The sequence below is a fragment of the Homo sapiens genome, chromosome 1 (genome assembly GCF_000001405.40).
Source record: "Homo sapiens chromosome 1, GRCh38.p14 Primary Assembly".
NCBI lineage: Eukaryota > Metazoa > Chordata > Mammalia > Primates > Hominidae > Homo > Homo sapiens.
In genome coordinates this window covers 10,137,356-10,161,106 of record NC_000001.11, presented here as the reverse complement: position 1 = coordinate 10,161,106, position 23,751 = coordinate 10,137,356, and the positions used below count along the sequence as shown (strand labels likewise).

The window sequence follows — 23,751 nt, the reverse complement described above, 5'->3', positions numbered from 1 at the left end:
CTCCCTGAAGCAAAATGCCACAGCAAATCCCAGGGAACAAGCACCTCCACCCAGACTGCAACTATCTCACCCTAAAAGCCTGGCTACCCTGGCACAAGTCAGGCACTATGGAATTCAAGGACCACCAAGCTTCTCTTTAGATTATGTTAATCTTGTTTCTTTTTGAGACAGGGTCTCACTCTGTCGCCCAGCCTGGAATGCAGTGGCACAATCACAGCTCACTGCATCCTCGACCTCCAGGGCTCAAGCAATCTTCCTGCCTCAGCCTCCTAAGTAGCTGGAACTACAGGCACACACCACCACGCCCAGCTTTTGTATTTTTTGTAGAGACAGGGACTTGTTATGTTGCCAGGGCTGGTCTCAAACTCCTGGGCTCAAGCGTTCCTCCCACCTCAGCCCCTCAAAATGTTGGGATTACAGAGATGAGCCACCACACCTGGCCTGGATTTTGTTATTCTTTTAAATTGTTTATGATAAGCTCATTCCAGTGGTATTTGGAGCCACCTTGCACGGCTGATGACAGTCAAGTGCTAAATATTCCAGAATTTTATAACCAGATTCCCCTGGCACCTTAAATTGGGCAACAGAGGAAACAGTCACACCATGGAAAACCAGCAAATGCTGACTCCCCCACCCTGCTTCCCAGAGCAGGCTTACCAGCACACCCCTAGCTCACTCCCTCAATGTTTTTAAGGAGAGAAAACACTTCTTCCAGACTAGAACAGGAAAAACGCATATACTCACCAATATACCAAGAAAATGCAAATAATTAACCACATACAACAGATAAGAAAACAACTGATATAGTTATTCCTTATCACAAAGACTGACGCATGGAAGAAAAATTGGAACCTGTAATATTGATAAAGTGGGATATTAACTTACTTTAAAACTGGAAGCCTCCAATCTAAGGAACTGTTCTGCAGATCGTGTTATAATGAGAACTTGCTGGTGAACTGAAATAGCTTGGCCTACCTCTGTTAGACTCTGGAGATGCCAGATTCGTAGAGAAAAAAAGAAGCTACACTTCAGGGTCTACAACTGTGCAACTACGGGGTGGTAAGCCCATGCTGGAGAAGAGAAGTTCCTGTGAACAAGTGCAGGAGGCCTCGATCTCAGGAACATGGCAAGTTCAGGACAAGCGCTCCAATCAGCACCATTCAGACCAAGCCATGGGCCTGCCTCGTGCCAGGCTTTAGCTGGAACACAATTCTGACCATAAGAGCAGTTTATGGAAACAAAAAGTTAAAAAGTTTGCTTCACAGAAATCTATCTGGCAAATAGTTATTCCACTGGTAATTTGTATATTATTGACTAGTAATTCGGTTAACAAGTATAGCTAGATTTGATCAAAGATCTAACATGGGTTGCAAAAGATCCAAGTAGGTGGGATAAAATTTTTATTTATTTATTTATTTATTTGAGACGGAGTCTCACTCTGTCGCCCAGGCTGGAGTGCAGTGGCACCATCTCGGCTCACTGCAAGCTCCGCCTCCCAGGTTCACGCCATTCTCCTGCCTCAGCCTCCTGAGTAGCTGGGACTACAGGCGCCCGCCACCGCGCCCACCACCATGCCTGGCTAATTTTTTGGTATTTTTAGTAGAGACGGGGTTTCACCATGTTAGCCAGGATGGTCTCGATCTCCTGACCTCCTGATCCGCCCTGCTCGGCCTCCCAAAGTGCTGGGATTACAGGCATGAGCCACCACGCCCGGCCCTTAGATGGGATAAAATTTTTGAAGAATAATTCAAGAGTTCAGCATCTTCATCTCCCTTTTGTTTTTAGGCACTGACAGATAATTTAGATGGAATTACTAATGTCCAGGTTTAAGCAGTCACTCAGATTTCAGGTAGGTATATGAAAAGTCTTTAATTAAGGTTTAGGGCCTTACCACAAAGAATGATACTTTAAATGACAACTCTGACCTAATTGTTGCAAAATCTAAAGTCCTTCCAACATTCAGGAACTAAGATTTCATTTCACTCATTCTGACAACTTCATTTAACACTGTCATCGTAGAAAACACCAAAAAAACACTTAACCCATCATCTCAGCATATTTATAGGATCTTTTCTTTTCCTTTTTTTTTTTTTTTTTGAGACGGAGTCTCGCTCTGTCACCCAGGCTGGAGAGCACTGGCACAATCTCGGCTCACTGCAAATTCTGCCTCCCGGGTTCAAGTGATTCTCCTGCCTCAGCTTCCCAAGTAGCTAGGATAACAGACGTGCGCCACCACACCCAGTTAATGTTTTGTATTTTTAATAGAGATGGGGTTTCACCATGTTGGCCAGGCTGGTTTTGAACTCCTGACCTCAAGTGATCCGCCCGCCTCTGCCTCCCAAAGTGCTGGGATTACAGGCGTGAGCCACCACGCCCTGCCCTATACAATCTTCGCTTGTGTACCACCCCCAAAGTATCTTGACAAATCTAAAATTCAGCAATATCTTGCAAGTAAAGCCATTTAAAAAATCCTGCCCACATTTAGTGGCATCTTGTGGTAAACTCAAAGGAGTCTGAGACCAAGCAAACAGTCAACAAGAACCCAGCTGTGCATGCTTTTAAGCTGCAATCCTACCTGCGATTTGCAAGAAAGCAAGTTGTGACACGAGGGGCCCCATACTCACTTGAACTCCTCCATAAAGGTGCCATGGTGAGCTATGTTTTGCCAAAGGCTTTTAAAAATGGTGCTAATATGATAGCGAATTGTGAACTTGTCATAAAACTCACTGGTGGCTCCGGTATGCTCAACATCTAAAGAAGAAAGACAAAGGTACTGAGGGATATGTATTTTCTTGCTTTCCAAATCCAGTTATTGCCCCAACAATGATACTGAGTGAATGTAAACCTGCAAAATCAGAGAGCTGGTGAAATTTTGCACTTCTTTTGCATGTAGGGCACGACAGAAATTATAAGCTGCTTTTAAAGACAAAAGTTTCACAATGAAGATTTGACAATGACACAACACCTAAAGGAACGGGGCTAGGAAAACTCCCATCATTAGGACAACATCAACTTACCAATGACCAAAAGCTGAATTATCATACTCCCCCCACCTAATTTTAAGTTATTAATTTACAGAAATTCTATGGCACCTCAAATGGACATACTTCAGCGGATAAAAAGTTAGGTTTAATTTTATTGAGGGCCATGTATTTACTAAATGTGTCTATCTATTGACCATTTTTGGTGTTGAAAAAACACCAATGTGTCTATCATCCCTAAATCTATTAAAGAGGGATAAAAATCAAACTTGTTTGTCCAAATGGCAAAAGCTTAGGCATGAGAAATTTCAGAATTCATGACAAATTTTATTATTATTATTATTATTTTTGAGACAGAGTCCCGCTCTGTCGCCAGGCTGGAGTGCAGTAGCACGATCTCAGCTCACTGCAACCTCTGCCTCGGGGTTCAAGCAATTCTCCTGCCTCAGCCTCCCTAGTAGCTGGGACTATAGACATGCGCCACCACGCCCTGCTAATTTTTGTATTTTTAGTAAAGATGGGGTTTCACCATATTGGCCAGGATTGTCTCGATCTCTTGGCCTCATGATCCACCCACCTTGGCCTCCCAAAGTGCTGGGATTACAGGTGTGAGCCACCGTGCCCAACTATTTTATTATTATTTTTTTGGAGACAGGGTCTTGCCCTGTCACCCAGGGTAAAGTGCAGTGGTGTGAATAATGGCTCACTGCAGCCTCAACCTCTCGGGCTCAAGTGATCCTCCCACCTCAGCATCCCAAGTAGCTGGGACTGGAGGTGTATCCACCACGCGTGGCTTATTTTTTATGGCTGAGCGTGGTGGCTCTCGCCTATAATCCCAGCACTTTGGGAGGCCGAGGCAGGCAGATCACTTGAGGCCAGGAGTTCGAGACCAGCCTGGCCAACATAGCAAAACCCCGCCTCTACTATTAATAAAAATACAAAAACTAGCAGGGCATGGTGGTGTGTGCCCATAATTCCAGCTACTCAGGAGGCTGAAGCAGGAGAATTGCTTGAATCCAGATACAGAGGTTGCAGTGAGCCAAGATCATGCCACTGCACTCCAGCCTGGGCGACAAAGCAAGACTCTGTCTCAAAAATTTTTTTTTTCACTTTTAATTTTTTTACAGATGGGGTCTCACTATGTTGCCTAGGCTGGTTTCAAATTCCTGCCTCAAGCGATCCTCCTACATCGTCCTTCCAAAGTACTGAGATTACAGGTGTGAGCCACTATACCTTGTCTTTGATATTTTCTGTATTTTCCAAAGAACACATTTTTTTGTGTGTGACCAAAAAAGGAAACAGCTATTTAAAAATAAAATAAGATAATTAACACCTATCATACTAAGATCCGAAAGTACTTATGTATATTCATTAAGTAACCTTTCCTTAAAATAAACTAAATGTCATTTATTAATTGTATAAAAGCATGAGCTAAAGTGTGGAGTGTTGACATAAGGATAGCCTACAAGAGGAAGATACAGGAGGACCAACCCAACGCCTCATATCATCTAAAATGCCCCAATATCTGCACCCAATTCTGAATATAGTAGAGACTAAGTAAATGTTAATTTATTATGTAGCAATATGTATCTCAGCAGGGCCCCGCATCTGTATTTCCAGCACTTCAGGAGGCCCGGGTGGGCAGATCACTTGAGCTCAGGAGTTTGAGACCAGCCTGGTGAACATCGTGAAACCCCGTCTCTACAAAAACCACAAAAATTAGCTGGGTGTGGTGGCACATGCCTGCAGTCCCAGCTACAGGGGAGGCTGAGGTAGGAGGATCACTTGAGCCCGGGAGGTCAAGAGTGCATGGTGCTGTAATTGTACCACTACACTCTAGCGTGGGTGACAGAGCAAGACCCTAGCTCAAAAAAAAAAAAAAAAAAGAAAAGAAAATGAAACAAAACAATATACATTTCTCCCAACAGTTTTTTTTTCTTCTTATTCACTTCTACTGTTCCCTCAAAGTCATACCAGCCCAAGTTCTAATTCCCAGGTCCTTGTTCTAGAAGGCCGTAGGTGGACTAGACTTGTGTTGAACCTCTCCCTCCTCCCCCCAGGTATTCTTGCTGCCTTCTTTCTTTTTTTTTTTTTTTGAGATGGAGTCTCACTCTGTAGCCCAGGCTGGAGTACAGTGGCAAGATCTTGGCTCACTGCGACCTCCACCTCCCAGGTCCCGGTTCAAGCAATTCCCCAGCCTCAGCCTCCCAAGTAGCTGGCATTACAGGCCCCCACCACCACACCCGGATAATCTTTTGTATTTTTAGTAGAGACAGGGTTTCGCCATGTTGGCCAGGCTGGTCTCAAACTCCTGGCCTCAAGTGATTCACCTGTCTCGGACTCCCAAAGTGCTAGGATTACAGGCGTGAGCCACCACGCCCAGCCTAACTTGAGCATTTTCTAAGCTAGAATACTATCTCTGTGGTGTTAAGAGGAGCTTGTTCCACATACTGATCTTGTGTGTGGCAACTTTTAATTTATATCTGAGGGTCCCATCTGCTCAGGGACCAGGACCTAATCAGCCAGGTCTTCACATGGAGGTGATGAGCACTGGGGACTATGTCTGTGATGCCTCCCTCAGGGGTACCCTCACACCGGTCCCTTAGTAGCTGTAGGAAGACCAGCACAGTAGCCAGGGGGACCTGTGCTAAAGGGCATCTGCGAGGTTGCTGCCACTTGCTAGCCACTGACCTTCAGCAAGCTTCTTGACCCTTTTAAGCTTCAGTTTCCTCATTTGTAAAGTGGATGTATTTATAGTACTATCTTTAGGACTGCCGTGGGGATTAAGTGAAAGGATTAGTAAGCATTCAATAAGTGGTGGCTATTATTAGTACAGATGTCATCCATCTATGACTGAAGAGGTGGTCCAGGCCAGAGGGCACACATGGCAAAGAGGAAAGAGAGAACAACCCCCACCCAATTCCTTCTGGAACATTCCCAGCAGGACTCCACTAGGCCCAGCACTCGTCTTATAGGCAACAGGCCCAGTTCTGTTGTGTAAACACAAATACACAAACACACACACACACACACACACACACTCTCTCTCTCTCTCTCTCTCCTGAAGCCACAGTGACAGGCCCAGAACACTGACTACAAAATAAATTTAACTAAAATTGTTTTGTCTTTACTACTAACAATACATGTTTACTGTAGAAAAATTAAGAAGTTCAGATAATAAAATAAAAATAAAAACTATTTATAATGCTACCATTCAAAAATAACCAATGCGCTGTTACTATTTTGGTATATGTCCTTCCCTACATTCCTTTTTTTTTTTTTTGAGATGGAGATTTGCTCTTGTAGCCCAGGCTGGAGTGCAATGGCACGATCTTGGCTCACTGCAACCTCTGCCTCCCTGATTCAAGTGATTCATCTGCCTTAGACTCCAGAGAAGCTGGGACTATAGGTGTGCACCACTACGCCCAGCTAAATTTTTTTGTATTTTTAGTAGAGACGGGGTTTCACCATTTTGGCCAGACTAAGCCTCCAACTCCTGACCTCAGGTGATCCTCCTGCCTCAGCCTCCCAAAGTGCTGGGATTACAGGCGTGAGTCACTGAGCCCGGCCAGTTGTTTTTATTATTTTCACTGCACTGCTTTATAAATAATGCTGTGGAGAACATCACTTACAAACATTCGTAATTATTTCCATTGAATAAATTTCAAGAAATTAAATTCTTATGTCAGAGTATAGCTATTCAGCTGTTGTCTCGTAGCTCCAAATCCACTCTTTTTTTTTAAAATTTTTTTAGATCTCGGCTAACTACAACCTCCACCTCCCGGGTTCAAGCTATTCTCCTGCCTCAGCTTCTCAAGTTGCTGGGATTACACGCATGCGTCACCCGGCTAATTTTGTTTTGTTTTGTTTTTTGTTTTGTTTTTGAGATGAAGTCTTGCTCTGTCACCAGGCTGAAGTGCAGTAGCGCGATCTTGGCTCATTGCAACCTCTGCCTCCCGGGTTCAAGAGATTCTCCTGCCTCAGCCTCCCGAGTAGCTGGGACTACAGGCACATGCCACCATGTCCAGCTAATTTTTGTTTTTGAGACGGAGTTTTGCTCTTGTTGCCCAGGCTGGATTACAATGGCGCGATCTTGGCTCACCGTAACCTCTGCCTCGCGGGTTCAAGTGATTCTCCTGCCTCAGCCTCCCAAGTAGCTGGGATTACAGGCATGTGCCACCATGCCAGGCTAATTTTGTATTTTTAGTAGAGACAGGGTTTCACCATGTTGGTCAGGCTGGTTTTGAACTCCCGACCTCAGGTGATTCGCCCACCTCAGCCTCCCAAAGTGCTGGGATTACAGCGTGAGCCACTGTGCCAGGCCTAATTTTTGTATTTTTAGTAGAGACGGGGTTTCACCATGTTGGCGAGGCTCATCTCGATCTCTTGACCTTGTGATCCACCCACCTCAGTCTTCCAAAATGCTGGGATTACAGGCGTGAGCCACCACGCCCGGCCTTTTACTTTTAGTAGAGACTAGGATTCACCATTTTGGTCAGGCTAGTCTCGAACTCCTGACCTCAGGTGATCCACTGCCTTGGCCTCCCAAAGTGCTGGGATTACAAGTGTAAGCTACTGTGCCTGGCCGAAACCCAGTCTTTTTACCCTTTTTTTTTTTTTTTTTTTTTTTTTTTTAGAAACAGGGTCTTGCTTTGTTTCACAGGCTGGAACGCAGCAGCAAGATCATAGCTCACTGCAGCCTTGAACTCCTGGGCTCAAGCCTTCCTCCCACCTCTGCCTCCTTAGTAGCTGGGACAACAGGCATCTAATTTTTAAATTTTTCGTAGAGATGGGGTCTCGCCATGTTGCCCAGGCTGGTCTCCAACTCTTAGGCTCAAACAATCCTCCCACCTTGGCCTCCTAAAGTGCTAGGATTATTAGCTGGAGTCACCGTGCCCAGCCCACATGCACTCTTTGTAGTTGGCTTTGTGATTCTGGGGCTGGCACTGCAGAATCTTTCCTTTGGCAGCCCGCCCTCTCTAGGGTTGCCAATAGGGGGTGCTGCAGGAGAACTGGAAAACTGAAGGAGAAACAAGGGACTTAGGACCTTGCACTTACTGTCAGCAGTAGCAGTTGGTTCCAATTTTCAGCTTTGTCTCGTACCCCCAGAGCTAGCAACCGTGCACAACCCCCGAGAGAGACACCAGCACCTACTGGCCAAGGGCCTTCCACAGAGGACTGGGTCCTAGCTCCGTCCAAGCCCTCATCAGGGCAGCTGGGTTCTGAGATCCCCAGGCTCTTCCCTTGGGTCCCCAGACTGAGGGATAGAAGATGGCTACTTCCTGCACCTACTATTTGTTATCCCAGTGCTTTTTTTTTTTCTTTTTTGAGACGGAGTCTTGCCCTTTCTCCTAGGCTGGAGCACACTGGTGTGATCTCAGTTCAATGCAACCTCTGCCTCCTAGGTTCACTCGATTCTCGTGCCTCGGCCTCCTGAGTAGCTGGGATGACAGGCGCCGCCCGCCACACCCAGCTAATTTTTGTATTTTTAGTAGAGACGGGGTTTCTCCATGTTGGCCAGGCTGGTCACAAATTCCTGATCTCAGGTGATCCACCCGCCTCGGCCTCCCAAAGTGCTGGGATTACAGGTATGAGCCACCGCACCTGGCCCCGATAAAAGCATTTTTAAGGCTCTTGGTGTGGGCTGCTAAACTGCCTTTCAGAAAGGCTTTAAATTTGCATTCTCATGAGAGTTTCATAGCACTAAATCTGCACACTGGCTATAGGGTAGATTAAGCAGGTTTTTTTGCAGGTTAGCTTACTTCTCCACAACCATGTTTGTACCAGGTATTTTCAACTTAAGAAATAAATTTGACAGGTGAAAAGTGGTATTATTATTATTATTATTATTATTATTATTATTATTTGAGACGGAGTCTTGTTCTCTTGCCCAGGCTGGAATACAGTGGCGGGATCTCGGCTCACTGCAACTTCTGCCTCCCGGGTTCAAGCAATTCTCCTCCCTCAACCGCCCTGGGACTACAGGCACCTGCAACCATGCCCGGCTAATTTAATTTTTTTTTCTATTTTTAGTAGAGATGGGGTTTCACCATACTGGCCAGGCTGGTCTTGAACTCCTGACCTTGTGATCCGCCCGCCTCGGCCTCCCAAAGTGCTGGGATTACAGGCATGAGCCACCGCACCCGGACCAAGAATATGCATTTTTAACAAGCTCCCTGTTTCACCCACACTTTGGAAAGTGGGTTATAGGATAGTGTTAAAAAACAAATGCTGTAAGTTCAAAGGTAAAATGAACCAGATAATTCCATTCAGATAACACTACCAACTTGTGCTCTTGATACCCTGGGTCTCGGTGCCAATCATCTGACTTTCAGTAGTTCCTGCTGAATCATCAGAGACCAGTAGGTGGAATGGTTGTCCTATTCCTAACTACTCAGGGCAAGAAGAACCAAAAGTACATCCTCTGCAGGCCACAGGTTAGTAGGCTATACACACAGGTAGCAGGATATTAGGTAACAGGCTTAGAGCAACGTCGTCCACTAGCTTTAGATGACCTTACCTAAGTTGGCCTGCCATGTGCTACACTGTGTTCCAGCAACCTACCTGTATAAAACTTCATCAGGGAAGGTACCAACAACTTGGTGGAGAGAGGATGGTTCTCAATCATTTCAAAAAACTTCTGGGTTCGTGGCTGAACAGCAGGGTTGGTCATAAACATGACTTCTACCAGTTTGGCCACCAAATATGGGTTTCGGATGTAGTTCTGGTTGCACAACATCACAACAAGGAACATCACAATATCCTGAGTACAGGGCTCATAAAGCGCCTGGGGAGAGTATCTGAACAGAGGCAAGAAGAGCAAGAAAGAGACCGCTGAGAAACTGCTGAGAAACTCATCTTGGGTGAAGGCTGGTGTCAGTAAGTGAGGAGGGGAAGGCAGGATAAGTAGGTTTGGGAGTGCCCTTGAACTCATTCAGTTTACAGTGACTTTTTTTTTTTTTTGAGACAGAGTCTCGCTCTGTCGCCCAGGCTGGAGTGCAGTGGCGCGATCTCGGCTCACTGCAAGCTCCGCCTCCCAGGTTCACGCCATTCTCCTGCCTCAGCCTCCCGAGTAGCTGGGACTACAGGCACCTGCCACCATGCCCGGCTAATTTTTTTTGTATTTTTAGTAGAGATGGGGTTTCACCATGTTAGCCAGGATGGTCTCGATCTCCTGACCTCGTGATCCGCCCGCCTCGACCTCCCAAAATGGTGGGATTACAGGCATGAGCCACTGCGCCCAGCCTATTTTTTTTTTTTTTTCTTGAGATGGAGCCTCGCTGTGTTGCCCAGGCTGGAGTGCAGTGGCACAATCTCGGCTCACTGAAACCTCCGCCTCCAAAGTTCAAGCGATTCTCCTGCCTCAGCCTCCTGAGTAGCTGGGACTACAGGTGCCTGCCACCATGCCCAGCTAACTTTTGTATTTTTAGTAGAGATGGGGTTTCACCATGTTGGCCAGGATGGTCTTGATCTTTTGACCTCGTGATTTGCCCACCTTGGCCTCCCAAAGTGCTGGGATTACAGGCATGAGCCATTGCACCCAGCCTACAGTGACTATTCACACTGTAACAAGACAGATTTAAAACCAAACATGGTTACTGGCTGTAGCATGTTATATTAACTATAAACAAAACCTATGATCAAATCAGATAAACTTCACAAAAGATCATCACTACCAAAACATAAAAATTTTGATAGTTTTTTTTTAATCTCTGCTGAAAATGAGAATAAATGAAATTTTTCAAATAGGTGTCTTTTGTATCACTGTGCATAGAACAAATTTTAAAATGTGACTTGAGTTGCTTAAATTCCAAGGTTGGTTTTTCAACAAATAAACCACGTTTTTGAGTCACTTTTAAAATTTCATACCAATCAAAATCACGTGTCACCAATGATTTGGGTTTTTTTGTGTATGTTGCCCAGGTTGGAGTGTAGTGGCATGATCTCTGCTCATTGCAACCTCTGCCTTGATTTGGGCTTTTTTTTAAAGGCAGCTTTTATGACAGCAATATTAACTTGCTCCATTTACTTTTGGCCCTTATTTTAAAATCATTTATACTAATTTTGTTTTTTTCCTGTTGTTTGTTACAAAACTTTCACAATTTGTATTCTGTGACTGGGGACCTATACTATTTATTTATTTATTTTTTAAAGAGATGCAGACTTGCTGCATTGCCCAGACTGGTCTTGAACTAGGCTCAAGCAATCCTCCTGCATGTCTGGGACTACAAGCATGAGCCACAGTGCCCAGCATGACTTTTACTTTTCACAATAGACTTCACATACCACTCCCTCAGCTAGTCATAGGTGCTATCATGGTGCCAAGGGATTGAAATTGTAATTCTTCTAACCTGTAATGTTTTAGAAATAAAATGTTAATTTGATAAACCAAATAAGGATTTGAAAAAAAAATTAAAACCCTACAATACCAGTTAGAAATTCAAACCATTTCTTGGTAAGCATTCTCCAATTTTACAATTGAGACAAATTTTAGTACAAAATATAGATGTGGATATTTCTGGTTTTGGGATGTTCATTCAGACATTTATAAACTGTTTCCTCCTTCTGTTGCTCAGAAACACATATTTAACTATTAGAAATTCAACTCAATTTTCAAGGAATACATTATCTGCACTGTTAATCCTGCCTCTGTCTTTGAGATATTATTGGAATTGGACTGATGCCACAGTTGGATTTATTTTTTCCAGTCTCTAGGCAGCATTCAGTTAAAACAGTTACATCAAATTTCAGGCATGAAATGGAGGTTTGCAACATAGCTCAGAATATTATACTATTATGCATAAAAACATATTAGAACTATGTAAAATATTAAAGGCACTTACTGTACAATAAAAAATAAAAATTCTGCAACATCTTCTACATAAAACTCAGGCAACGCTGCAAATACCTTGGGGACATCTGAATTTAAAGGCAGTGTTATACTGTCAAAGAGAAAAAAAGGACAATTTATTAAATGAAATTATGGTACATCAAACTACAAGGAGTATTACATTACCATCGGATAAGTATTTCATTTGGGGAAGAAAATCATTCTGTAATACTATGTAATAAATATGTAGGCAAAGAAACTACAACCAGAAATGAACAGGGAATAATGAAGACAGTGCATATGCAAGGGTATGTGTGAAATGTTTTCCTTTTCTTGATTTCTTTTTTTTCTCCCCTGAGATGGAGTCTCACTCTGTCACCCAGGCTGGAGTGCAGTGGTGCAATCTTGGCTCACTGCAACCTCCACCTCCCCAGTTCAATCGATTATCATGTCTCAGCCTCCCGAATAGCTGAGATTACAGGCACGTGCCACCATACCTGGCTAATTTTTGTATTTTCAATAGAGACAGGGTTTCACCATGTTGGCCAGGCTGGTCTCGAACTCCTGACCTCAAGTGATCCACCCATCTTGGCCTCCCAAAGTGCTGGGATTACAGGTGTGAGCCACCACACCTGGCCCTTTTCTTGATTTTTTTTTTTTTTTTGAGACAGAGTCTCACCCTGTCACCCAGGCTGGAGTACAGTGGCGTGATCTCGGCTCACTGCAACCTCTGCCTCCTGGGTTCAAGCAATTCTTGTGCCTCAGCCTCCCGAGTAGCTGGGATTACAGGCGCCCACCACCACACCTGGCTAATTTTTGTATTTTTAGTAGAGACGGTGTTTCACCACGTTGGCCAGGATGGTCTCGAACTCCTGACCTCAAGTGATCCGCCTGCCTCAGCCTTCCAAAGTACTGGGATTACAGACGTGAGCCACCACGCCCAGCCTTCTTGACTTCTTGCTAAGGTTAATGCAATAAGTAAAATGGGAAGGAAATAAAAAGGTCCTATTTGGTCATTTTGTGCAACTCAAACGGAAACAACAGAGCTACACACATTTTTTTTTTTTTTTGAGATGGAGTCTTGCTCGTCACCCAGGCTGGAGTGCAGAGACGTGATCTCCGCTCACCGGAAGCTCCGCCTCCCAGGTTCACGCCATTCTCCTGCCTCAGCCTCCCGAGTAGCTGGGACTACAGGCACCCGCCACAGCGCCCAGCTAATTTTTTGTATTTTTAGTAGAGACGGGGTTTCACCGTGTTAGCAAAGATGGTCTCGATCTCCTGACCATGTGATCCACCCGCCCTGGCCTCCCAAAGTGCTGGGATTATAGGCGTGAGCCACCGCACCCGGCCTACACACATATTTTAAATAATATTTTCCACGCCTTCACGGGTCTTGGGCCAATCTCACCAACATCAGTGAACCAGAGACTTCATAACAGTAAAATAATAATAATAATAAATAAAACAAAAATGGTTTGCCTGGAGGAGATGACCAGTTGATGACAAAGTGATCAACAATGTTCTTAGCTCACTCTCTGAATTAGGTGGGTATTCCTGGACCCAGTGCTTAGGAGGGCCTAATATTATCTCCAGCTTTTGGCTTCCAATTTATAGATTTCTCTTTCTATCAATCAAAGACTTTATAGCAAATTTTAAAGAAAACTTGTCAAAATTAAAATAACAGGTGTTGACATTTGCCTATTATTGTAACTAATTACAGGGAAAACACCTATCAATATAACTACATAATCTATATAAATGCAATCTGGAAACTGAGAAGTGAATTATCTTTTTTTTTGGGTGGGGACAGAGTCTCGCTCTGTCGCCCAGGCTGGAGTGCAGTAGCATGATCTCGGCTCAATGCAACCTCCGCCTCCCGGGTTCAAACGATTCTCATGCCTCAGCCTCCTGAGTAGCTATGACTGCAGGCATCTGCCACCAAGCCCGGCTAATTTTTGTATTTTTAGTAGAGACACGGTTTCGCCATGTTGGCCAGGCTGGTCTTGAACTCCTGACCTCAAGTTATCCATCTGCCTCAGCCTCCCCCAAAGTGCTGGGATTACAGGCGTGAACCACTGCGCCTTGCAGAGAAGTGAATTCTTGATAAAGAAAGGGTTTTGGTTTTAGTTATCAACTTTGAAGGACAATAAAGACAACAGAGCCCAGCCAAGGAGGGACAAGGGAAACAGGAAGAAGCACACTCACTCGGGATATGCGGGGTCCAGGATGCGGAGCAGCAGCTGAATGAGAAGGCCATAAAAATTCAGACATCTTCTCAGGAAGCTCTCGTCAAGTAGGCCAGCATCAGCACAGGCCTTGCACCGTACCAGTTTCTGTGGAAGCAGGGATGTCCCCACCCAAAGATCAGTCAGTAGCTAAGTCCCTACAGGGGGACTGGGCAGGGACTGGGGCCAGGAGATGGGAAATTTGGGTTCCAGAGCTTCTAGAGCTTCATCTCCTAACTAGCTATAAGATGCTGGTTGTGTCTCAAGACCTTTTTCCTGAGAAAAACAAAGGCGTGGCAAGCAAACCACCGAGTACCACCAGGTCTAGCACACAGTTAAAGCTCAAAATGTTGAGTTCCAACAGTCACAAGTAAATAACCTGATGAGGAGAGGGTGGCGACAGGGAGGCCCTTTGGGTGTCAGGGTGGTTAGTGGGAAAAAGCCAAACAATCAGTGTCTGAATTCCAGTGTCGCCTCTTACGAGCTGCCCTCGGGCAAAATGCTGGCCACTAAGGATGGAATTCCTACCTAGAGGCCTGTTGACAGAATTACACACACATGCATGCACACACTGATGTATACATTTAAGCAGTTTTTATGTTTCTTATTTATTTATTTTGAGACAGAGTCTTGCTCTGTTGCCCAGGCTGAAGTGCAGTGGCGCGATCTTGGCTCACTGCAACCTCTGCCTACCAGGTTCAAGCAATTCTCCTGCCTCAGTCTCCCGAATGGCAGAGATTTCAGTCGTGTGCCACCACACCCAGTTAATTTTTGTATTTTTAGTAGAGACGGGGTTTCACCATGTTGGCCAGGCTGGTCTCGAACTCCTGACCTCAGGTGATCTGCCTGCCTCGGCCTCTCAAAGTGCTGGGATTACTGGTGTGAGCCACCATGCCTGGCAATTTAAGCAGTTTATAGATCCCCTTGAAACACATCTGTGGACTGCTTAGGGGGGTGCACAGACCCCAGATAAGGGCCCCTTGTTAATTGTGCATCTTGAAGAAGTCTAGTCTATTAGTAAATAAAACTGAAATCTTAACTGGTACTAGAAAGCTATGTCAGGTAAACTTTCCACATATTATCCTACTGTTCAACAGAATGCATGACCAGCTAACACTCAGGTTTATAACTGGAACATGAATAGAAGAAAAATGCATAAATTTGCTATCTATGCTTTATTTGTACAATGTCAGCTGGCATATGTTTTTAGCTATGTCTCACCAGCAAGAATATTCCCATCTATAGTTAGGTTTTGTGTGATGAATCAATTTCAATTAAAAAGAAAGAATGAGGGGCAAAGGAAAGAGATCTTTCCACTACCACAGATACTCTTTGTCAAATATCATGGAAATGCATGGCTAGATATACTGGATGAGTGTTGGGGCGAGGGGTGGGAGACAGCAGGTGAGGAGGGCCCTGCATAAGGCAGGGAAGGAGAGGTGATTTTTGTTGTTGTTGTCTTTTTTTTTTTGAGACGGAGTCTCGCTCTGTCGCCCAGGCTGGAGTGCAGTGGCGCCATCTTGGCTCACTGCAAGCTCTGCCTCCTGGGTTCATGCCATTCTCCTGCCTTAGCCTCCTGAGTAGCTGGGACTACAGGCGCCCGCCATCACGCCCGGCTAATTTTTTTTTGTATTTTTAGTAGAGACGGGGTTTCACCGTGTTAGCCAGGATGGTCTCCATCTCCTGACCTCGTGATCCGCCCGCCTAGGCCTCCCAAAGTGCTGGGATTACAGGTGTGAGCCACTGCGCCCGGCCAAGGGAGGTGATGTTAAACTGAGAATCATAAAACCCATTAAGAATTCATAATCACAGCAGAAGCATATCTATCCATATTCTGTCCTGAGACTGAAATCATTATATACACATATAAGTAAGGTATCAACAAGTTTTAAAATATACTATTTTATTGGAAGGGAAAAGAATAACAAAGAAAAAGTGAGGACACTAAACTGCTCACTCAAGGCATATATTCTGTTGGGAAAATTATCACTATGAGGCTGGTCTATAATTATTCCACTTAGCTATACAAACCTTAAGCTGAGTTTTACAGCGCTTCAGCATTTCGCGGTGTCTAGTTGCCAGTGGGGAATCTTTCCATTGGCTTTCATTATTTTTCAAATCTTCTACAGTTCTGAAATCAAAGACTAACAGTCAAATGAAAGAAAACAGCCGGATCCATCTTACCCATTCATCTTGCTCATTTCACTGACTCTCACACGCAGTTGTTTGTTTTCGCATTGTAACATCTTTAAAATCAGAGTATATCTTACAACCAGCGGCAAATCATAGTTTAATTGGCAGCATTTTTCTTTCTTTCTTTCTTTTTTTTTTTTTTTTAAGACAGAGTCTCGCTCTGTCACCAGGCTGGAGTGCAGTGCTGCAATCTCAGCTCACTGCAACCTCCGCCTCCTGGGTTCAAGTGATTCTCCTGCCTCAAACTCCCAAGTAGCTGGGATTACAGGTGCTCACCACCATGCCCAGCTAATTTTTTCTATTTTTAGTAGAGATGAGGTTTCACTATGTTGGGCAGGCTGGTCTCAAACTCCTGACCTTGTGGTCTGCCTGCCCCAGCCTCCCAAAGTGCTGGGATTACAGGCATGAGCCACTGCGTCGGGCCATATTTTTCTTTTTTATTGGTTCCTAAAACAATGATGTGTCTTTGAATGGATGGCACTACAGATTTGGTGAATATAATCATCTTTTTTGTTGCAAGAAAGTACATTGTTCCCTTATTTTTCTGGGAGGGAAAAAAAGAAGTCTCTCATGAAAATTCGAGGTTACTTTGCCTATTCAATTACCCAAAACAAAAGGCTATTTTACTAACGGCATCGTCCTTTACAACTGTTCCCTCTGCTCGCAATGCTCTTCTCTGAGGTTATCTCTGGCTTTGCTCCTTCACTCCCCTCAGGTGTCTGCTCAAACACCATCTGTCTCTGCAGTAAAAGGCTTCCCCATCACCTAATAGGCTGCATATTTTGAAGACCGACTCTCTTAACACTATTTCAACCCCTTTCTATCATGATGTTGTGTGTAATACTAGAGGCTGCTAAATCTCCAAAAGCTACATTTCCTAGACTCCCCTCCTGCCAGCATTTCTGTAAGACCTAGTTTTCACCAAGATGAACCCTCACTGAAGGCAGAGTGAGTACTGTGAAGTGACTGCGTGATTGCATGATCCTTCTGGAAGTACAGTGGTAGAGGGGTTTTGGCTGAAGCTGTGGCAGAGGCTGTGCTGTCAGGCTGACCTCCGAAGCAGCTTCCTTGTTCAAAGTATAGCTCTGGGAATCTTCTATTATAGCCATTCCAATGATTCAGTAAACCAACTAGTTCCCCTTTCTGCTTATCCCAGAAGAATTGGATTCTTTCGTCTACAACTGAAACATGAGTATGGTAGACAAAAGAATGGCTCCTCCAAACTTGTCGCATCCGAATCCTTCGAGGGAACCTGTGAACATGTGATCTCCCATGGCGAAAGGGACGTTGTAGATGTGATTAAGGGTATGGATTTGAGATGGGAAGAGTATCTTGGATGATTTTGGAGGGCCCAATATAATCACAAAGGTCCTTCTAAGAGAAAAAAGGACTCAGAGACAGAGAAGGAGATGTGACAATGGGACAATGGAAGCAAAGGTCAGAGAGAGAAGGAGATCTTGTTGTTGTCTTTTTTTTTTAGACTGAGCCTCACTCTATTGCCCAGGCTGGAGTAAACTGGCATCATCTGGCTCACTGCAACCTCTGACTCCCGGGTTGAAGCGATTCTCCTGCCACAGCCTCCCAAGTAGCTGGAATTATAGACACCTGCCACCAGGCCTGGCTAACTTATATTTTTAGTAGAGATGGGGTTTCAACATGTTGGCCAGGCTGATCTCGAACTTCTGACCTCAAATGATCCACCTGCCTTGGCCTCCCAAAGTGATGGGATTACAGGTGTCAGACACGTGCCCAGCCTTGTTTTTTGCTTTTTTGAGACAGGGTCTCTCACTCTGTTGCCCTGGAGTGCAGTGGCACGATCTCAGCTCATTGCAACCTCTACCTCCTGGGTTCAAATAATTCTCGTACCTCAGCCTCCTGAGTAGTGGCGACTACAGGGGTGCGTTACCATGCCTGGCTAATTTTTGTATTTTTTGGTAGAAAAGGGTTTCACCATGTTGGCCAGGCGGGTCTCAAACTCCTGACTTCAAGTGATCCACCCACCTCAGCCTCCCAAAGTGCTGCGATACACCAGGCAAGCGAAGGAGATCTAAAGATACTATGTTGCTGGCTTTGAAAATACAGTAAGGTGGGGTGGGGTGGGGGGTGATAAGGAGCAGAGGAACGTAGGCAGCTTTCAGAAGATGGAAAAGGCAAAGGAGATTCTCCCCTAGAGCCTCTGCAGGGAATGCAACCTTCATCTTCTTTTTTTGAGACAGTCTCGCTCTGTCTCCCAGGCTGGAGTGCAGTGGCGCAATCTCAGCTCACTGCAACCTCCGTCTCCCGTGTTCAAGCGATTCTCCTGCCTCAACCTCTTGAGTAGCTGGGACTACATGCATGCACTACCATGACCGGCTAATTTTTGTATTTTTAGTAGTGACGAGGTTTCACCATGTTGGCCAGGCTGGTCTCGAACTCCTGACCTCATGTGATCTGCCCACCTCGGCCTCCCAGTGTTGGGATTACAGGCGTGAGCCACTGCGCTGGGCCGATTTTAGGACTCCTGACCTTCAGAACTGTAATATGTGTTGTTTTAAGTGACTAAAGTTGTGGTAATTTGTTGTTGCAGTCATAGGAAACTAAGATAATGACCTATATGGCTACGGGTATCACAAGAGTTTATAGGTAACAGGCCTTCATGAAAAAAATGGGGCTCTGGGATCAGTTCTTTGATTGGGCTGCATGGTGAAGATACAATTAGTATTTGAGGATGGAACACTGGTAGCCCAAGGCTCTGAGTAGAAAAACAGCTATATACATGATCCCTGGTGATCTGGAATGAGGATGTGGAGTGGCTACCTCTAATTATGTGGTGGAGCTTATAGAAAAAAAAAAATGACAGGCTTCAGATTTTAAATTCTTATCTCCAGGAAATGTGAATTAATCAGGAGTTTCTAAGACTGTTGTTAAAGGAAAGGAGCAGCTCCAGTTCTACAAATTACAGTACAGAAGAAATTAATAACTTTGCTGGACCTCTTATCTGAAAGTTAAGGCAAAGACTGGGACCCAAAGAGTTCAAATGGAGGAGTTTGGGAGAACTAGCTGACTCCAAGTACCTAAATCTCTAAATTCCCTGAGCCTTGCTTGCTAGCAGAAGCAGTTTCTATAATGACCTCATCAGAGATAGTCACCTTGCAGGGTAATGCTATTTTCCCCTAGGTTCTAACCCATCATCCCTCTTCGCTTCCAGAACCACAGCTAGAGTCAGATCAAGGACTGTCCTTATGGCATTATTACAAAATTGGATGCAACAGAAGCACATATTTGAAGAAAAAAAATGGCAAGATTTGCTAATGTGTTATGCTAGTTTTCTATTGCTGCTGTAACAAGTTACCACAACCTCAGTGGCTCCAAACCACACAATTATAGTCTTAGAGTTCTGGAAGTCTAAAAGGGGTCAGCAGGGATGGTTCCTTCTGGAGGCTCTAGGGGAGAACAAGTTTCCTCGCCTTTTCCAGCTTCCAGAGGTTACCGGATTGGCTCATGACCCCAAACCACTCCAACCTCTGCTTCCCCATCACATTCCGTCTCTCCCTGTGACCCTCCTGATTCCCTCTTATGAAGACCTTTGCAATGACACTGGACCTACCCACATAATCCAGGATAATCTCCCCACCTCAAGATCATGAACCTGATATCACAGCTGCAAAGTCCCTTTAATCAAGTTAGATAACATATTCACAGGTTCCGAGACCAGGATGTGGGCACCTTTGAGATGCCATTACTCTACCAACCACATATGTACTGCAGAAACATGACGGTTATGTAGGATTATGTATGGGAATGGATTCTGAGGATGCTTGATCAGCAAGAGAAGAAAATGCTGATATACTTCTATGTAGGGCTAAAATCACTGACATGATTATACCTACCAGAGACCCTGAATTCAGTATTATTCTGAGTTGGGAGAGGTTCATATTATGCAACCAACTAGTTGACCCAAACTTTGAATTGACAGTGACCTATACTGAATGAAGCTGAGTTGCCAAATATTCTTTGATCTAATTCAGAGGAAATGATTCAAAACTTAAAGAGCTTGGAAAATTAAGGTGGATTTACTTTATGTGATTTGCTCAGATAATCCTCTTTCCAATACGCATATACACACCCCAACTATGTCCTAGAAGATACTTCTTAAATCACAGCATTGAAAAATACACAGATGAGGTGAACATAAATGTCTCTGGAAAGCACAATAAAGGCTATCTGCTGCAAGCCAGGAGCAAAGGTTCTAGATGGTTCCATTGAAATGGACCCTCTAAAGCCAGCGGGAGTGACTGTATCCCAGGAGGTAATCCATCGGAGGATAAAGAAACAGATAAATCCACAATCATAGTTTGAATTTTTTATAAGCTTCTCTCAGTGATTGATATTATAAGCTGATAAAATCATTAGATATAAGGAAAACTTGAACAGAAAATTAACAAACTTGACCTAAATAATATATGTGGAACACTGTAAAAACAACACAGATAGCAGTCTTTTCAGGTCTACTAATGTAAAAGGCTATAAAGTAAATTTCAATAAACTTCAAAAGACACAAATCACATAAAATATATTTTCTTACCATGATGGAATTTATCTAGAAATCAATTAACAAAAGATACATAGACAAATACCCTAAGAACCTAGAATTTAAATAATATATTTTGAAATAACCCACAGGTTACATAAGAACAAACAAAAATTAGAAAACATTTTGAACTGAGTAATAAGATATGATATAACAAAAATGAGGGATGCAGCTAAGGTCACACTAAGAGGGAAACAAAATAGTCTTAAATATACACATAAGCGAAAGGGTTGGAAAGGATGATCTAAATATCCATCTCAAGAGGCAGTAGAAAGCCAATTAAAATGGGCCGGGTGCAGTGGCTCACACCTGTAATCCCAGCAAGGCCTAGGCAGGCAAATCACCTGAGGTCAGGAGTTCGAGACCAGCCTGACCAACATGGAGAAACCCTGTCTCTACTAAAAATACAAAATTAGCTGGGCGTGGTGGCACATGCCTGTAATCCCAGCTACTCAGGAGGCTGAGGCAGGAGAATCACTTGAACCTGGGAGGCAGAGGTTGAGGTGAGCCAAGATTGCACCATTGCACTCCTGCCTGGGCAACAAGCCTGGGCAACAAGAGTGAACCTCCTCTCAAAAACTAAAATAAATAAATAAAAGCAGAAATAATAAGGATCCTACAGACATTAAAATGATAAAAGGATATTATGAACAACTTCATGCCAAAACATTTTCAAACTTTAGAAAAACTGACACAAGATGTAATGAAAATCTAAATAGTCTTATATATATTAACTGTCTTAAATCCATAATTAAAAACATCCCCACACAGAAAACTCTTAAGCCCTGACAACTTCATCACTGAATTTTTTCTGACATTTAAGGAAGAAACAACATAATTCTTATACAATAAACTCTTCCAGGGAACATAAAAAACAGGAGAATATTCTCCAGTTCTTTCTTTTTTTTTTTCTTTTGTTGAGACAGAGTCTCACTCTTGCTCAGGCTGGAGTACAGTGGCTCGGTCTTGGCTCACTACAACCTCCGCCTCCCGGGTTCAAGCGACTCTCCTGCTATAGCCTCCCAAGTAGCTGGGATTACAGGCATGCGCCAACCATGCCCAGCTAATTTTTGTAGTAGAGACGGGTTTTCACTATGTTGGCCAGGCTAGCATCCAACTCCTGACCTCAGGTGATCCGTCTGCCTCGGCCTCCCAAAGTGTTGGGATTACAGGCGTAAGCCACTGTGCCCAGCCCCCAGTTTCTTCTATAAGGCAGCATAACCTTGATACCAAAATTTGAGATGCACTTAACAAGAAATGAAAATTACAGGTCAGGCTTTCTTTTGAACAGATGCAAAAATCCTAAACAGAATATTAGCAAATTGTATATCCAATTAGATATAAAAACATTAATATAAAAGTTAAGTTTACTCCAGGAAAGAAAGACTGGTTTAATAACAGAAAACCAACTGATATAATTCAACCACATTAACAGAATAGAGAAGAAAAAAGTCTAGTCTCCTCAACAGATATGGCAAAAGTATTTAATAAAATTCAACCAGTGCTAAGGGAACTAACTATTGAAATAAAAGGAAATTTTCTTAATCTGGTAACTGAGGATATATAGAAAGCTTTCCTCCACCAACTGAAACAAGATGGAAATTTCAAGGTTATTTCTATTCAACATTGTACTAAAAATTACAGCCTGGGCACTAAGGCATGAAAAAAAAAGTAAAAGAAATAAAATTGTCATCATTTATAGACATGATTATGTGTAGAAAGTAAATCATAAAGAATTTGCAGAGTTAACTATTAGAATTAGTAAGTGATTTTAGGCCAGGCACGGTGGCTCACACCTGTAATCTCAGCACTTTGGGAGGCGGAGGCAGTCGGATCGCCTGAGGTCAGGAATTTGAGACCAGCCTGACCAACATGGAGAAACCCCGTCTCTACAAAAAATACAAAAAATTGGGCCAGGTGCATGGGCTCACGCCTGTAATTCCAGCACTTTGGGAGGCTGAGGCGGGCGGATCACGAGGTCAGGAGATCAAGACTATCCTGGCTAACACGGTGAAACCCCGTCTCTACTAAAAATACAAAAAATTAGCTGGGTGTGGTGGTGGGCGCCTGTAGTCCCAGCTACTCAGGAGACTGAGACAGGAGAATTGCTTGAACCCAGGCGGCAGAGATTACAGTGAGCCGAGATCATGCCATTGGACTCCAGCCTGGACTACAGAGTGAGACTCCATCAAAAAAAAAAAAAAAATTGGCCAGGCGTGGTGGTGCACATCTGTAATCCCAGCTACTCGGGAGGCTGAAGCAGGAGAATCGCTTGAACCTGGGAGGCAGAGGTTGCACCGAGCTGAGATCGTACCACTGCACTCCAGCCTGGGCAACAGAGCGAGACTCCGTCTCAAAAAAAAAAAAAAAAAAAAAAAAAAAAAAAGAATTAGTAAGTGATTTAAGCAAGGTAGATACAGAGATATAAATATGATTCAGTTTCTCTCATAGACAGACTACGCAGGTTCTAGACCAAAAAGCAGAAGTGGCATCATTATTATTCCAGATAACCTGCTCAAAAATATTTGCTTCTGTGTTCCTGTGACTTCTGTTTGTTGGTGTTAGTACACAGGAAAAAATGCTTAGAGTAAGAAACACAACCATGGTGCTAATGAATTGGAAATTTGAGGCTGCTATCTGGCCATTTTGGACCCCTCATGCCACAGAACAAGCCAAAAAGAGAATTACATGTAGGCAGGAGTAAATGATCCTGGTTATCAAGGGAAACCATGGTTACTTTTTCACAGTCCAGGGAAGAAGGGGTATGTCTGAAACCCAGGGGATCCTTTAAACTTTTAAAGTTTGAAGTGCCTCCTGGTAATGTATGCCCAGTGGGAAAAGTTAATGGAAGTCTGTAGTAACCATAAACAGAGTGAAATATCCAGGGTTCAGAACTCTCAGAAATCAAGGTTTGGATCACTTCACCAGGTAAAGAACTCTGGACAACTGAGC

General features: G+C 43.9%; 1 protein-coding gene across 8 annotated transcripts in view, besides 1 other annotated feature; it reads right to left on the bottom strand.

The window, feature by feature from the left end:
• Positions 1-23,751, bottom strand: part of UBE4B (ubiquitination factor E4B) — a 148,282-nt gene that overhangs the window by 20,133 nt on the left and 104,398 nt on the right. For all 8 annotated transcript variants that reach the window (NM_001410744.1, NM_001105562.3, NM_006048.5 and 5 more), the window contains 5 exons: positions 16,068-16,167; positions 14,017-14,144; positions 11,825-11,923; positions 9,546-9,781; positions 2,625-2,751 (listed from right to left, as the gene is read on the bottom strand). In NM_001410744.1, the coding sequence (NP_001397673.1) occupies positions 2,625-2,751; positions 9,546-9,781; positions 11,825-11,923; positions 14,017-14,144; positions 16,068-16,167 (690 nt within the window). The remainder of the gene's footprint in view (positions 1-2,624; positions 2,752-9,545; positions 9,782-11,824; positions 11,924-14,016; positions 14,145-16,067; positions 16,168-23,751) is intronic.
• Positions 5,753-5,954: a silencer, noted in NCBI's record as "fragment chr1:10215211-10215412 (GRCh37/hg19 assembly coordinates)". NCBI's record gives its function as "represses an EF-1alpha promoter that drives an FKBP-Casp9 reporter gene in an ReSE screen in phorbol 12-myristate 13-acetate-treated (for megakaryocytic differentiation) K562 erythroleukemia cells {active_cell/tissue: K562(+PMA)}" and the evidence as "EXISTENCE:reporter gene assay evidence [ECO:0000049][PMID:32094911]".